Source organism: Homo sapiens, chromosome 11 (assembly GCF_000001405.40).
Source record: "Homo sapiens chromosome 11, GRCh38.p14 Primary Assembly".
NCBI classification, from domain to species: Eukaryota; Metazoa; Chordata; class Mammalia; order Primates; family Hominidae; genus Homo; species Homo sapiens.
Genome location: NC_000011.10, coordinates 78272315 through 78288454, shown reverse-complemented (window position 1 = coordinate 78288454; position 16140 = coordinate 78272315). Strand labels below are relative to the sequence as shown.

General features: G+C 43.5%; 1 protein-coding gene across 5 annotated transcripts in view; it reads left to right on the top strand.

The window, feature by feature from the left end:
• GAB2 (GRB2 associated binding protein 2) overlaps nucleotides 1-16140 on the top strand; it is a 202528-nt gene that overhangs the window by 129366 nt on the left and 57022 nt on the right. For 4 of the 5 annotated variants that reach the window (NM_080491.3, XM_024448782.2, NM_012296.4 and 1 more), the window contains exon 2: nucleotides 7554-7854. In NM_080491.3, the coding sequence (NP_536739.1) occupies nucleotides 7554-7854 (301 nt within the window). Of the gene's footprint in view, nucleotides 1-4175; nucleotides 4195-7553; nucleotides 7855-16140 lie in introns of those variants that run through there. The other variant, XM_047427936.1, reaches the window with a different exon arrangement.

The window sequence follows — 16140 nt, the reverse complement described above, 5'->3', positions numbered from 1 at the left end:
GGGTTTTGTTGTAGATTTTTTGTGTTTTTTCTTTTTCTTTCTTCTTCTTCTTCTTCTTTTTTTTTTTTTTTTCTTTGAGATGGAGTCTCACTCTGTTGCCCAGGCTGGAGTGCAGTGGCACCATCTCAGCTCACTGAAACCTCTACCTCCTGGGCTCAAGCAATTTTCCTGCCTCACCCTCCCTAGTAGCTTGGATTACAGGTACCCACCACCATGCCTAGCTAATTTTTGTATTTTAGTAGAGATGGGATTTCACCATGTTGGCCAGGCTGGTCTTGAACTCCTGACCTCAAGCAATCCACATGCCTCGGCCTCCTAAAGTACTAGGATTACAGGCATGAGCCACTGTGCCCAGCCACGATTTTTCTATATAGATAATCATGTCCTCTGCAAACAGGGACCATTTTTTTTTCTTCCTTTCCAATCAGTATACCTTTTATATATGTTTTTTGCTTTATCACCTTGACAAGAACTTCCAGCAATATGTTGAATAAGAGTGATAACAGTGGCTGGGCACGCTGGCTCACACCTGTAATCCCAGCACTTTGGGAGGCCAAGGCAGGTGGATCACTTGAGGCCAAGAGTTCAAGACCAGCCTGGCCAACGTGGTGAAACCCCATCTCTAATAAAAATACAAAAATTAGCCAGTGTGGCAGTGCACACCTGTAATCCCAGCTACTTGGGAGGCTGAGGCACAAGAATCACTTGAACCCAGGAAGCGGAGCTTGCAGTGAGCCAAGATTGTGCCACTGCACTCCACCCTGAGCAACAGAGTAAGACTCTGTCTCAAAAAAAAAAAAAAAAATGATAAGAGCAAATGTCCTTGCCTTATTCCTGATCTTAGGAAAGAGGATTCAGTCTCTCAAATCTAAGTATAGGCCAGGTTTGCTGGTTCACACTTGTAATCACAGCATTTTGGGAGGCCAAGGCAGGAAGATTACTTGAGCCCAGGAGTTTAAGAACAGCCTGGGAAAAATAGTGAGACCCCCATCTCTACAAAAATTTAGAAATTAGCCAGGCATAGTGGCATGCACCTGTGATCTCAGCCACTCAGGAGGCTGAGGTGGGAGATTCACTTGAGCCAGGAGGTTGAGGCTGCAGTGAGCCATGTTCATGCCTCTGCATTCCAACCTGAGTGACAGAGTGAGACCCTGCCTCAGCAAACAACCAAAAAAAACTAAGTATAACATTTGATAGTGGTCTTTTGTTGCTGCTCTTTTTCAAGTTGAAGAAGCTCCCCTCTGTTCCTGTTTTTCTGAGAGTTTTTATCAAGAATGAGTGTTTAATTTTATCAAATATTTTTTGCATTGAAAGATATGATCATGCAGTTTTTCTTCAGCCTATTAATATGGTAGATGACGGATTTCAAATATGGAATCAGCCTTACCTCCTTGGAATAAATTCCATTTGGTCATGTGTTTTTATAGATTGCTGAATTCTATTTGTATTTTATGTGTAAGTCCATAATCCATTTTGAGTTAATTTTTGTATGAGATTTTATATAGACGTTAGAACAGTCCTGAAAAAGCTTTCTCTTTAATAGCATATTCAGGACTCATGTCCCGTATTCTCCTTGCATTATGTGTCAGTAATCCAACAGCAATTTTTCATTTTTGTATCATGGGTTACTTTTCAGGTGAAGCTCCCAGACCCCCCTTATAAATATTTATTACATGGATACTGCACTTATCAGAATGAAGGGAACAAGGTGCCAAATAACTCACACCATAGAGAATCTATTACACATCTTTATCTTATTCTTTTTTCTGTAATCCTCTTGCTGTCCTTCTTTTCTACTTCCTACTGTGAAAGCTTACGTATAAGTTTTATTAATTTGAACAAATTAACATATTCATGGAATGAAAAAAAATCAACAGATCTTCCCTGAGCTCCTATATGTGTTAAGCACTCTGCCATGTAGTTTTTGGCCACATTGGACCTTAATCTCAGGATGCTCAGAACTTAAAGGGGAGAAAGACATATAAGCATTAGAAATGCCAAAGCAGGGAGTAGAAATGTCAAACCCGGGGAAAGAAATGCCAGCGTGGGGTAAGCACAGGTTAGTAAGGGAAAACAAGCAGAAGCACCTCCAGCTCTACCTGGGGGAGTCAATAAAGGCCTTCCAGGAGAAGTGACATTTGTGCTGGCACTGAGAGAACATAGAAATTCTCCAGATGGATGAGGTAAGGTGAAAGCCTTTCTAGGCAGAAGCCATAGCTTGTGCAAAGACATAAAGTCATGAAATTACATGACTTACTATTTGGAGAATAATAGGTAATTTTTAGTGCTCCTGTAAATTCTGTGAGACGAGGAATTCATGCTGTATCCTCAGCATTAGAATAATACCTAGAGCATAGTAAGCACTGAATAAATATTTGTTGGATGTAAGGAAACAAAGGAGGGAAAGAGCGATGGAGGAAGGAAACATAATTGAGGTGAGAGCGGTAAGAAAGCTTTGGCAATAAAGAATTTTGTTCATGTCCTAGTTGGGAAGAGACAAGTACAAAAACACTCATGATTGTTGTAAAAACTGACATGCCTTGAAAAGAACATAAAAAGCATTATGAAGGTTCCGAGGAAATAGAGGTCCACTTCAGATGAATGGATCAGGGAAGTTGTCACTGAGGCCAGACACTTAGAGTTGTTTGTACTTGGTTCTGAATTGTTTGGCTTTTTAAAAACACATGGGGCCCCATGCCGTGGCTCACGCCTGTAATCCCAGCACTTTGGGAGGCTGAGGTGGGTGGATCAATTAAGGTTAGGAGTTCAATACCAGCCTGACCAACATGGTGAAACCCCGTCTCTACTAAAAATACAAAATTAGCTGGGCATAGTGGCACACGCCTGTAATCCCATTTACTGAAGAGAGGCGGAGGCGGGAGAATCGCCTGAACCTGGGAGGTGGAAGTTGCAGTGAACGAGATGATGCCACTGCACACCAGCCTGGGTACTCTAAAAATATATATAAATAAATAAAACCTGGAAGTGGAGAGAAGGTGTTGTGGTGGAAGAGGGATGTGTGAATTTGGGACTAGACTAGACAGCCTTGCTGACTCTGTCATAAATATATCAGTATTTTGTAGGCAGCCATTTATCAGCCTACACCACTTACTTGGAAGCAAAACCTGACAGGCTCTGATATTATCTGTAGCAAACATGGTTTTCTTGTTCATGAGGGTGTCTGTGTTTTTTGTGCTTGCACCTGCATACCAGAGATTTGGGGACAGCTCTTTCCACAGAGACAAGACTAACGGGGACACATCAACTGAAATGCCAGCTGAACTAGAAACAGATCTTTTTAAAATGCACCTTGGTGCCCACACACTATGTGTCTATGTGTGAACCTGCAGCACACAGAAGTACATGCATAATTCTGAAAGCAGTGACCGGGTTAAGATTTTAAATTACTATAAATAAATAGTACTTATTTTTATTTTTCTCAGCTCCATCCTATCTGGCTATACCTCAATTTTCATTTCAGTCTAAGGCTTATTGGGCACCAGTTATGTCTCCTTTGACCTGCTAGATAATAGAAGGATTTCATGCAAGAAAATGATTCATTAATTATATATATATTGATTACTAGCTATGTGCCAGGCAATATTCTAAACACCAAGGATGCATCATGGAATAAAAAGAACCAATCCTTGTCCTGGAGGAGTTTACTTTCTGGGAGGTGGGTGCGGAAAAGTCATAAAAATTGATATCTTTTGGGGGTATACATGCTTTGTGAGACCAGTAAAGCAGGGTAAGGGGGGAAAGAGAGTGGGAGCATCGGGGACCAGGAATAGCCTGTCCAGTAATGTGACATTTGAATAAGGACTAGAAAAAAAGATTAAGCAATGGAAATATCTGGGGGAGGAGTGTTCCAGGGCCAGGAAACAACTAGACTAAAGACCGTGAGGCAGGAGCACGCCTGGCACTGTGTAAGGCCACGTGGCCAGAGCAGAATAGGCAAGGCAGAGGGCAGCAGGAGCTGAGGTGAGGGGTGGGATGAGGCTCAGTCCCATCAGGCCTGTAGGCCATTGTGGGGACTTTGGCTTTACTCTGAGTGAGATGAACAGCCATTGCAGATGGTGAGCGGAGAAGTGGCATCTTCTGATTTACTTCCTGCTTTCTTACTTTGCGGTTGAGGATAGACTGCAGGATGAAAGGGTGGAAGCAGGAAGACTACAAAATGGTGGACTAGACCAGGTGAGCAACAGTGGAGGTGAGGAGAAGCAAGCTCATTGTTGATATATTCTGAACTGTCTGAACTGACAGGATTTGCTTTTGGGTTAGATGTAGAGTATGAAAGGAGTCAGCTATGATACATAGATTTTTGGTCTGACAACTGGAAGGCTGAAGGTGCTGGTAAATGAGATGGGAGAGAGTGCAGGAAGAACAGATCTGGGAGATATCAGGACCTCAGTTTTGAACACATTAATGTTGAGATACCTACTAGTGAGGAGTTGGATATACAACTCTAGGGCTAGAGATATAAATTTGGGAATCACAGCAATTCGATGGTTTTTTAAAGCTGTGAAACTGAATAAAATGACCTAGAGAGTGGGTGTAGAAAAAAAAAAAAGAATCTCAGAACTGAGCATTGGGGCATTCTAATGTTCGGATGTCAGGGAGGTGAAGAGGAGCCAGCACTGGAGACTGAAAAAGAGAGGCCCGGTAGATAGAAGGAGAGTTGAGAGTGCATGCTGAAGCCAGGTGAAGAAAGTGTTTCAAAGAGGATGGAATAATAAACTGTTGTCAGATGTTGGAGAGAGATCAAGAGAGATCAAGTTAAGGCCCATGAGTTGATTTATCAGCACTGAAGTCTTTGACACCTTTGATGAGCTATTTCAGTGGTGCAGTTGGGGTGGTGGGGGGATGGGGGATAGCCTGATTATAGTGCCTTCGAATAGGAGGGGAGGAAACAAAGATTAGTAGTATATAATACTCTTTGAAGTATCACTATAAAGAGAAGTAGAAAAACTGGGCCATAGTTGGTGAAGAATTGTGGGATCAAGTCAAACTTTTAATTTTTTCTTCTGAGATAGGAAACGTTGATGTCTTGATGGGAATCATCCTAGTCAGGAGGAAAAATGCAACGATTCTGAAGAAGGGGAGAATTGTTGAAGTGATGTCTTTGTGCACAAATGGAAAAAGGTTGGCCTTCATTGGGTGGACTGTCTATGCTCCCTAGTAACAGAGCTCACAGCTACAGGTGCAGGCAGGATGGTAAATGTAGTCATGGAACATGTGTAAATTTTCTTTTGATTGTTTGTGTTTTCTCATGAAATAAGATATAAAAGAGTGGAGGCATTGGAGGTTTAAAGAGAGAGGCCAAGAGATTGTTGCCAAAGAACAGGAGAAAGTCATTGACTAGGTAAATATAGTAGGATTGTTGGGCAACATGAGGGGCCACTTGAAGTAAAAGTGAGACCAGTCAGCATGGTCATATGATTTTCTCCATGTATGTACAGCCAAGTGGGAACAGGTAGAGTTGGCAGAGCATTAGACTTAGCTGGGGTTTGCTGGGTAAATAAGAGGAATGGAGAAAGAAGCAAGGGAATAATTATGATAATGGATCGCAGAAATAGAGTTGGATAAGGAAAGAAAAGAGGACAGGGATGAAAGGTGAGAGTGAAAAGATGGTAGAATTAATGGAGTGTAGATCCCATGGGGTCTAAAGAATTGTGATAATCAAATCCTTGACATTTGTAGTGCTTCAGGGTGTATACAAAGTGCTTTGGGCTCACATAATAACCCTATGGGGTAGGTAGGGAAAATGGTGGTGGTGGTAGTGATTTTCATATAGATGAGGCAGGATTCAAAGAGGTAAATGACTTAATCAAAAATCACACAGTGCCGGGCGTACACAGTGGCTCACACTTGTAATCCCAGCACTTTGGGAGGCTGAGGCAGGTGGATCACCTGAGGTCAGGAGTTTGAGACTAGCCTGGCCAACATGGTGAAGCCCTGTCTCTACTAAAAATACAAAAATTAGCCGGGTGTGGTGGTGGGCATCTGTAATCCCAGCTACTCCGTAGGCTGAGGCAGGATAAATCCGCTTGAACCCAGGAGGCAGAGGTTGCAATGAGCCAAGATCATGCCACTGCACTCCAGCCTGGGTGACAGAGCGAAACTCCGTCTCAAAAAAAAAAAAAAATTCACACAGCCAGTCAATGGTAAAGCATAGACTGAACGCAGATTTCTGTTATATGTAGTCTTTGTGCAATGTCTGCTTACAGATTACTCAGTCTTGTTGAAGAGATGGAATATGGAAGACAACTTGAGAGAATATGTAATCACGTGTTCAATTCTGTGGTATGGAATGGTATAAGGAGTTTACTCATTCAGTAATACATATTGAAAGCTTAGTAAGGTACAAGGCATTATCATAAGGACTAAGGAAACATCAATGAACAAGACAGGAAATATAATCCTGAGGTTACATGTTTTTAGAGCAGTTTCTCTGTGATTCTTCTAAGGCATCATGTTTTGGTTAAAAGCAGGTTGTACTAAAAAGTTAGAAAACTTGTTTTTCTGCTACTTACTGTGTGTAACATTGTTACTTCAACTCACCCTGCCTTAGTGGGGGTCCCCATGGATAAACTGATTATGGCTTTGCAAGTTCTCCCTTGCCTAAAAATGCTGTGAGTTTGGATCTGTATTCTAGCCTAAAGAAATAGTTGCTCTAAAGTGTCATCATCTAACTTCCTGATCTAGACAGTGGGAATGCCACATCTTACTTTATAGTGATAAGACCCTGTTTACATAGTGAGATGCTGCACAAACATGCATTCCAAAGTAATCCTCCATTTTTGAAACTTGGGAAATCTGAAAAGGGGACAGGTCATGTGGCACCTGCAGGTCCCACAGTCCCCGTCTTTAACCTATGATATCTGAGGACCTATTAAAAGCTTTAAGGTCGTCTGGGCATGGTGGCTCATGCCTGTAATCCCAGCACTTTTGGGAGGCCGAGGCAGGTGGATCACCTGAGGTTGGGAGTTCGAGACCCGCCTGACCAATGTGGAGAAACCCTGTCTCTACTAAAAACACAAAATTAGCCAGGCGTGGTGGCACATGCCTGTAATCCTAGCTACTCAGGAGGCTGAGGCAGGAGAATCGCTTGAACCCTGGAGGCGGAGGTTGCAGTGAGCCAAGATCATGCCATTGCACTCCAGCCTGGGTAACAAGAGTGAAACTCCATCTCAAAAAAAAAAAAAATGCATTAAGGTCAGGCACAGTGGCTCATACTTATAATCCCAGTGCTTTAGGAGGCTGAGTTGGGAGGATCTCTTGAGACCAGCCTAGGCAACATAGCAAGACCTTGTCTCTACAAAAAAATGTTTTAATTAGCTGGGCGTGGTGATGTGCGTCTGTAGTCCCAGCCACCCAGGAGGCTGAGGTGGGAGGATCGCTTGAGCCCAGGAGTTCAAGATTGCAGTGAGCTTTGATTGTGCCACTGCACTCCAGCCTGGGCAACAGGGCAAGACCTGTCTCTGAAAGAAAAAAGCTTTGAAATAACTAATGACTTCTTCCCCCTCTTCTTACTCCTTCCTGATATGATTTAGGCCTGGAAGAAACGCTGGTTTATCCTGCGGAGTGGCCGGATGAGCGGTGACCCAGATGTTCTGGAATACTACAAGAACGATCACTCCAAGAAGCCTCTGCGGATCATCAACCTGAACTTCTGTGAGCAGGTAGATGCAGGCCTGACCTTTAACAAGAAGGAGCTGCAGGATAGTTTTGTGTTTGACATCAAGACCAGTGAACGCACCTTTTACCTGGTGGCTGAGACAGAAGAGGACATGAATAAGTGGGTCCAGAGCATCTGCCAGATCTGTGGCTTCAATCAGGCTGAGGAGAGCACAGGTATGAGAACGCACACAGATCTTTCTCATAGGGGGTTGAGGTGAGGCCCTTGGATTCCTGGAGCATTGAGAGCAGGCTCTAGCTAAGGTTTCCTGTTGGAAGAGCGTTCATAGATAAAGGGTAAAGAGTGTGAAGGGGTTGGCCAAATATTAGAGGGACACCTGGCCCTAATTATGCTCTAACTGGAAACCAAAAAAAAGTGTTGGGGTTGTGATAAAGCTAAAGGTATTTGTGGTGTTTCCTTAGGTGCCTCAACACCACTGCCGTTCCTCATCCCTCCTGTTTTCTCTCTTCCCTGTGCTGTCCAGCACTCTGTGTCCCATTATCTGTCACCCATCCCATAGGGAAGGTCTCACCTTGGTCCCTTCTCTCCTTCATCTCTGTCTGTCCTAGCCCATTTCAGGCCATCCTGCACAGTCACACTTGACCCTTGTTTGTGCGGGTTCTTTGTGATGATTATTGACGATTCAGTGTTCATTTATGTTTACTTGGGAGGGGACAGATAAAAGGAGGAAACAGTGATTTATGTTTGGGTTTTTATAATCTTCACAAAAGAGTAGCTCACCTTTTTGAAATGAGTGTTAAATTGTAGAAATGCTCCTTAACATTTGTTTAGGCTCATCTCAAACTCTCTGGGATGGTTGAAGAGCAGAGTTTTTTCTGGGGCAGTAGAATTGACCCAGGAATTCTACTCGCAGGCATATTCCCAAAACATGTTTACACAAACACTTGTACAAGAATGTTCACAGCAGTATTATTCATAATAGCCAAAAAGTGGAAACAACCCAAATATCCATCAATAAATCAAATATGGTATATACATATATATTACTAAGCCATAAAATGGTATGAAGTACTGAAAACATGTTAAGTGAAAGAAGACAGAGAGGACCATCTTTTTATGATTCCGTTTGTATGAAGGCTCAGAGCAGGCAAATCCACAGAGACAGAAAGTACATTGGTGGTGACTGAGAGTGACAGTGTGAGAAGCGACTGCTTATGAGTATGGGGTTTCTTCTTGGAGTGGTAAAAATGTTCTGGAATTAGATAGTGATGATATTTGTACACTTTCATGAGTATACTAAAAACCACTGTATTTTACACTTTAAAATGCTGAAATTTATGGCGTGTAAATTATGTCTCATTCTTTAAAAAAAAGTTCCTCAGGTGATTCTGAGGACCAGCCAGGTTAGGGAGCCCCTAGATGTAAGACCAGGTTCGTGGACATGTGAACTGTGGAGTCACAAAGAGCCCCATCCTTAGAAGGTCTTGCACTTCGTTTAACACTCCACTATTACTATCTTGAAGTTCTTAATAGTTTTTTTAACAGGAAGTTCTGCGTTTTCATTTTACACTGGGCTCTGCAAATTATGTAGCCAGTCATTCCTGAACTAGATATCCTAACCTAGGAATTCTGTGATTTTTATCTTCCTTGGGGAAGGATAATGAGCCCCTATTTATTAAGTTCTTTGGTATAATCTTCTTGCTTCCTGAGTGGAATTTCCTGTTTTCCCCAAATCTTTGTCATTTATAGGTTTCATGGAGGTTGTTTTTGTTTTTTTCCTTTATTTTATTCCTGATGGAGAGCAATGCATATTCAGTAAAAAAAAGTGGTAGAGGGAAAGGGGCCCCAGCTGGGGCAGCATAGCGAGACTAGAGTGCAGTGACACAATCATGGTTCACTGTAACATTTTTATTTCGATAAAAAATAAAAATTAGCTGGGCATGGTAGCATGCCTGTAATCCCAGCTACTAGGGAAGCTTAGGTAGGAGGATTGGTTGATGCCAGGAATTCAAGGTTGCAGTGAGCTGTGATCACACCACTGCACTCCAGCCTGGATGACAGAACGAGACCCTGTGTCCTAAAAAAAAAAACAAAAATGTTGGGGGTGGGGAATAAGAAACGAATTAAAAGGCCAGGGAGCTGGGCACAGTGTTTCACGCCTGTAATCCCAGCACTTTGGGAGGCTGAGGCAGGCAGATCACCTGAGGCCTGGAGTTCGAGACCATCCTGACCAATAATGGTGAAAACCCGTCTCTACTAAAAATACAAAAATTAGGCTGTGGTGACGTGCACCTGTATTCCCAGCTACTCAGGAGGCAGAAGTGAGAGAATTGCTTGAACTCAGGAGGCAGAGGTTGCAGAGACAAGATCGCACCACTGCACTCCAGCCTGGGTGACAGAGGGAGACCCTGTCTCAAAAAACAAACAAAAAACAAAAAAAAAAGCAGACTGGGCACGGTGACTCACGCCTGTAAGCCCAACACTTTGGGAGGTCGAGGCAGGTGGATCACCTAAGATCAGGAGTTCAAGACCAGCCTGGCCAACATGGCGAAACCCCATCTCTACTACAAATACAAAAATTAACCAGGCATGGTGGTGGGCGCCTGTAATCCCAGCTACTTGGGAGGCTGAGGCAGAAGAATCGCTCGAACCTGGGAGGCAGAGGTTGCAGTGAGCCAAGACCATGCCATTGCACTCTAGCCTGGGCAACATCAGTGAAACTCTGTCTCAAAAAAAAAAAAAAAAAAGCAGGGGAAGAAAAACTTCACAAACACACCAGTCTCAAAGCTTTCATAAATGTTGTTAGCAGTGGCAAATCTATCTGGGTCTGCAGCAACCTCAATTCTTGCCTCCTCAGAAGAAAGAATTCGGCCAAAGGGCATAAGGCAGAGTGAGACACTGAGCCATGTTTTAGAAGAGGGGTGAAAGTTTATTAAAAAGTGTTAGAGCAGGAACAAAAGGAAGTAAAGAACACTTGGAAGAGGGCCAAGCGGGCAACTTGAGAGATTTCAGTGCACTGTTTGACCTTTGATCTGGAGTTTTATATATTGGCATGCTTCCAGGGGGTTGTGTCCCTTCTCTCCTGATTCTTCCCTTGGAGAGGGCTATCTGCATGTGCAGTGGCCTGCCAGCACTTAGGAGGGGCTGCATGCACAGTGTGTTTACTAAAGCTGTACACATGCCCACTTGAGGCATTCTTTTACCAGCCAAGTGTTCCTAGAGGAAGGCCAAATACCAGTTAAACTCGACCATTTTGCCTCATAGTGTGCGTGCTTGAGACTTGCCTATCTCCTGAGATGGTATCAGAAAGCTGCTGATCACCAGTTTCAGGTGTTTTCTATCGATTGGGAGACCGTCTTTCCCCAGCACCAGCTGCAACCAGTTGTTATTTTAGAGAGTTTAACCGCCTGACTCTCACCTGATGGTTGCCTGACATTCCTGGTGAGATGGGGGCAGGAGAGGCTCCTGCCCTGCTCATGTCTGCCTAGCTACCTACTCTAACAATGTGAGAAATGGGTCCAAGAAGTACCTCAGCTTTTTAAGAAATAGGTATGATGAGGGGAAAATGTAACCAAAAACCAAATGGCTTTTAATTGAATTATTTTCTTGTGGGATTAGAGGTGTTCTCATCAAGAAAATATATTCTTGAGATGTGGCAAAAATTACTCAGTGGAGATATCTTTCTTAATCACATATTTAGGCTGGGCATGATGGCTCCTGCCTGTAATCCCAGCACTTTGGGAGGCCGAGGTGGGCAGATCACAAGGTTAGGAGATCGACACCATCCTGGCTGACACGGTGAAACCCCATCTCTACTAAAAATACAGAAAAATAGCCGGGCGTGGTGGCGGGCAACTGTAGTCCTAGCTACTCGGGAGGCTGAGGCAGGAGAATGGCGTGAACCTGGGAGGCGGAGCTTGTAGTGAGCCGAGATTGTGCCACTGCACTGCAGCCTGGGCGACAGAACGAGACTTCGTCTCAAAAATAAATAAATAAATAAATAAAATAAATAAAAATCACATATTTAAAAGATATTGTCTGAATCCTTTTACTGTATAGGACTTCAGTACAATGAAAATGTGGAAACTACATTATCTGAGCTTGCTTTCTTTGGTAGCAAGGTTCATTTGTTCATTCACACATTATTCATTCAGCAAACCTTATGGGGCATTCATTTTATGCAAGTTCCTGTCATAACCAATGAGGCTACAAAGATGAACAGTAGAGTCTGAGTACTCAGACATCATAGCCTAGAGGAGGGGACAGGCATGCAACCAGATAGTAACAGAGTCATGCTATAACGGGAATCACCAAGATTAGCGACACATACACCACCAGCTTAGGCCTCCCTAAGGAGGAGAGTATTAGAGGGTGACAAATAATTGAGTGTTTTGTCAATGGCCTTATTAAATAATATATTTCCTAGCCTGTAATCCAAGCTATTTGGGAGGCTAAGACAGGAAGATCGCTTGAGCCCAGGAGTTCAAGACTGCAGTGAGCTGTATTTTTTAAGAGGCAGGGTCTTGTGAGCCCTGTCACCCAGGCTGGGATATAGTGGCATAATCACAGCTCACTGCAGCCTCGAACTCCTGGGCTCAAGCAGCGTTCCCACCTCAGCCTCCCGAGTAGCTGGGACTACAGGCATGCACCACGGCTCCTGGCTAGGAAATATATTCTTTTCTTCTTCTTTTTTTTTTTTTTTTTGAGACAGTCTTGCTCTGTCGTCCAGGCTGGAATGCAGTGGCACAATCTTGGCTTACTGCAACTTCCACCTCACAGGTTCAAGCAATTCTCCTGCCCCAGCCTCCTGAGTAGCTGGGATTATAGACAGGCAACACCATGTCTGGCTAATTTTTGTATTTTTAATAGAGACAGGGTTTCACCCTGTTGTCCAGGCTGGTGTCAAGCTCCTAACCTCAAGTGATCCACTCACCTTGGCCTCCCAAAGTGCTGGGATTACAGGCATGAGCTATTACGCCTGGCCGGAAATATATTCATTCATATATATAGATATAGATATATAGATATATATCTGTGTGTGTTTTAGTGTATATATACACACACAGAAATATGTATATACACATATGCATCTATATATTTTCTTAAGCCTTTTTAAAGGAATTATTTTATTAGATGTCTAGTGTTCTAATTATCAGAGCAAGAATATCATCTGTGATAGAGGTTTAAGGTTATTTGTGAGATCCTTCTGTTGAAAACAATTGGCTTTTCTTCTATCTCAGAGGAGAATCTGGTATGTTAAAAGATTCAGTCACATGATGGGTTATGTTTTAATTTAGTGGCTCTCTTAAAACTGGATTATATCTGTAAAACCTTCAGGTAAAAAATTAAAACTTAATAATTCATTCAGTGTTTTTTTTTTAACTGAGAATTGGGATCTGAGGAGAAACAGAAAGTTAACATTTGACTACTTTCTTTTGCTTAGTAGCCTATTTCATTTAATCACTTTATCACCTTTATTTCCATTTTTCATATGATGAAATTGAGTATTTTTTCTTCCCTGCCTAGCACTTTTATAACTCCCCGGGGCTAAAAATCTTCTCCGTCTACCCACTCCCCATCCTTGGCTGGGTTCAGAAGGGCTACCCAACTCTTATCAGCCCCAGAAACTCTTCCTTAATGCAACACTGCTTTCCTTTTACTGGAGCCTGTTGAGAACAATCCAGTCACCTGAGTCTTCATGTCAGCACCTGCTTTAGGTGAAGAGTACCTAACCCTTGGTGGCCACAAAAAGACATAATCGCAGCTATGTATTGAGCATCTGTTCTGTGAAAGTTGAGACTTTACATAAATTCCCACTAAAAAGTCACAGTAATCCTTTGAAACAACAACGATTTGACCCAAGGTCACACAGCTAGAACACGGGACAGTTGGGATTCTAGTCTAACCCAGGCCTGACTTTGCATTATAATGTGCTGTGTTTTTGTCCCTGTTCTCCTGGAATATAAGCATCTGCCAGAAACAGGCCTGGATATTTTTGCCCCTTTGGACACTATGCATTGTACTGGAAGCACCCCCAGGGGTCCCTATGGCAGGCTGAGGTTCTCTCTGCTTACTAACCCATATTGCCAAAGTCCTTGGTCTAGAATATTCCTAATTTAGTAATTTCAAGGGCTTTAATCCAGTCATCAGGCTCTATTGGTTAGTCTGTACACTGGGGACAAGGATGTCTTAGTTCAAATCACCACTCTGATTACATGAGCAGGTCACTTAATAAAGTCTCAACTTCCTTTTATAAAATAGGGATAAAATACTTTCTGTTCTCACCCCATGCTTCTGCTTCTCCATGGATGCATCCAGACAGACATAGAACCCACTGGCAGCACCTCAAGTTGCACATTTCCCAAAGGACTATTCACATTGTTTTCTGTGTAGGGGTATCCCCTGGAGTTGATCAATCCAGTGTCCCTGTCCCTGGTTTGCTCCTATAGAGGCTTCATCATATGTGGAGCCTCTTTCAAGCAGATACTCCCTCTTTTCCTTTCTTTCCTTCCTTCCATCTGTTCATCTGTCCTCCTTTGTGTCTGTCTTTCTCTCTCATTTGTCTCTCTGTCTGTCTGTGCCCAGGCTGGAGTGCAGTGGCACAATCATGGCCTCCCAGTTTCAAGTGATCCTCCCACCTCAGCCTCCAAGTAACTGGGACTACAGGTGTGCACCACTACACCCAGCTAAATTTTTTAAATTTTGTAGAGACAGGGTCTCACTATATTGCCCAGTGTATTAGTCCATTTTCATACTGCTGATAAAAACATACCTGAGACTGGGCAATTTACAAAAACAAAACAAAAAAAAAAACAGGTTTAATAGACCTACAGTTCCACATGACTGAGGAGGCCTCATAATCATGGCAGAAAGCAAGGAGGAGCAAGTCATGTCTTATATCAGTGGCAGCAGGCCGAGAGAGAGCTCTTACAGGGGAACTCCTCTTTTTAAAACCGTCAGGTATCATGAGAACAACCTGGGAAAGACCTGCCCCATGATTCACTTACCTCCCAGCAGGTCCTTCCAACAACATGTGGGAATCCAAGATGAGATTTGGGTGGGGACACAGCCAAACCATGTCATTCTGCCCCTGCCCCCTTTCAAATCTCATGTCATCACATTTTAAAACCAATCATGCCTTCCAAACAGTCCCCCAAAGTCTTAACTCATTACAGCATCAACTCAAAAGTCCACAGTCCAAAGTCTCATCCAAGGCAAGGCCTTCCGCCTATGAGCCTGTAAAATCAAAAGCAAGTTAGTTATTTCCTAGATACAATGGGGATACAAGCATTGGGTAAATACAGCCATTCTAAATGGGAGAAATTGGCCAAAACAAAGGGGCTACAGGCCCCATGCAAGTCCAAAATCCAGTGGGGCAGTCAAATCTTAAAGCTCCAAAATGATCTCCTTTGACTCCCTGTTTCACATTCAGGTCACACTGATGCAAGAGGTAGGCTCCCATGGCCTTGGGCACTCCACCTCTATAGCTTTGCAGGGTATAGCCTCTCTTCTGGCTGATTTCATGGGCTAGCATTGAATGTCTGCACCTTTTCCAGGCACACAGTGCAAGCTGTCAGTGGATCTACCATTCTGGGGTCTGGAGGATGGTGGCCCTTCTCTCACAGCTCCACTAGGCGGTGCCCCAGAAGGGACTCTGTGTGGGGGCTCTGACCCCACATTTCCCTTCTGCACTGCCCTAGCAGAGGTTTTCCATGAGGGCCCCACACCTGCAACAAACTTCTGCCTGGGCATCCATACTTCCATACATCCTCTGCAATCTAGGCGGAGGTTTGTAAACCTCAATTCCTGACTTCTGTGCACCTGCAAGCTCAACACATGGAAGCTGCCAAGGCTTGGGGCTTCCACCCTCTGAAGCAACAGCCCAAGCTGTACCTTGGCCCCTTTTAGTCACGGATGGAGTGACTGGGACACAGGGCACCAAGTCCCCAGGCTGCATACAGCAGAGGGACCCTGGGCCCGGCCCACAAAACCATTTTTTCCTCCTAGGCCTCTGGGCTTGTAATGGGAAGCGCTGCTGTGAAGACCTCTGACATGGCCTGGAGACATTTTCCCCATTGTCTTGGGGATTAACATTCGTCTCCTCCTTACTTATGCAAATTTCTGCAGCCAGCTTGAATTTCTCCTCAGAAAATGGGATTTTCTTTTCTATTGCATTGTCAGGTGCAGATTTTCCAAACTTTTTTGTTCTGCTTCCCTTATAAAACTGAATGCCTTTAACAGCACCCAAGTCACCTCTTAAATGCTTTGCTTCTTAGAAATTTCTTCCCCCAGATGCCCTGAATCATCTCTCTCAAGTTCAAAGTTCCACAAATCTCTAGGGCAGGGGTAAAATGCTTCCAGCCTCTTTGCTAAAATATAACAAGAGTCACCTTTGCTCCAGTTTCCAACAAGTTCCTCATCTCCATCTGAGACCACCTCAGCCTGGACTTTATTGTCCATGTCGCTATTATCACTTTTGTCAAAGCCATTCACAAGTCTCT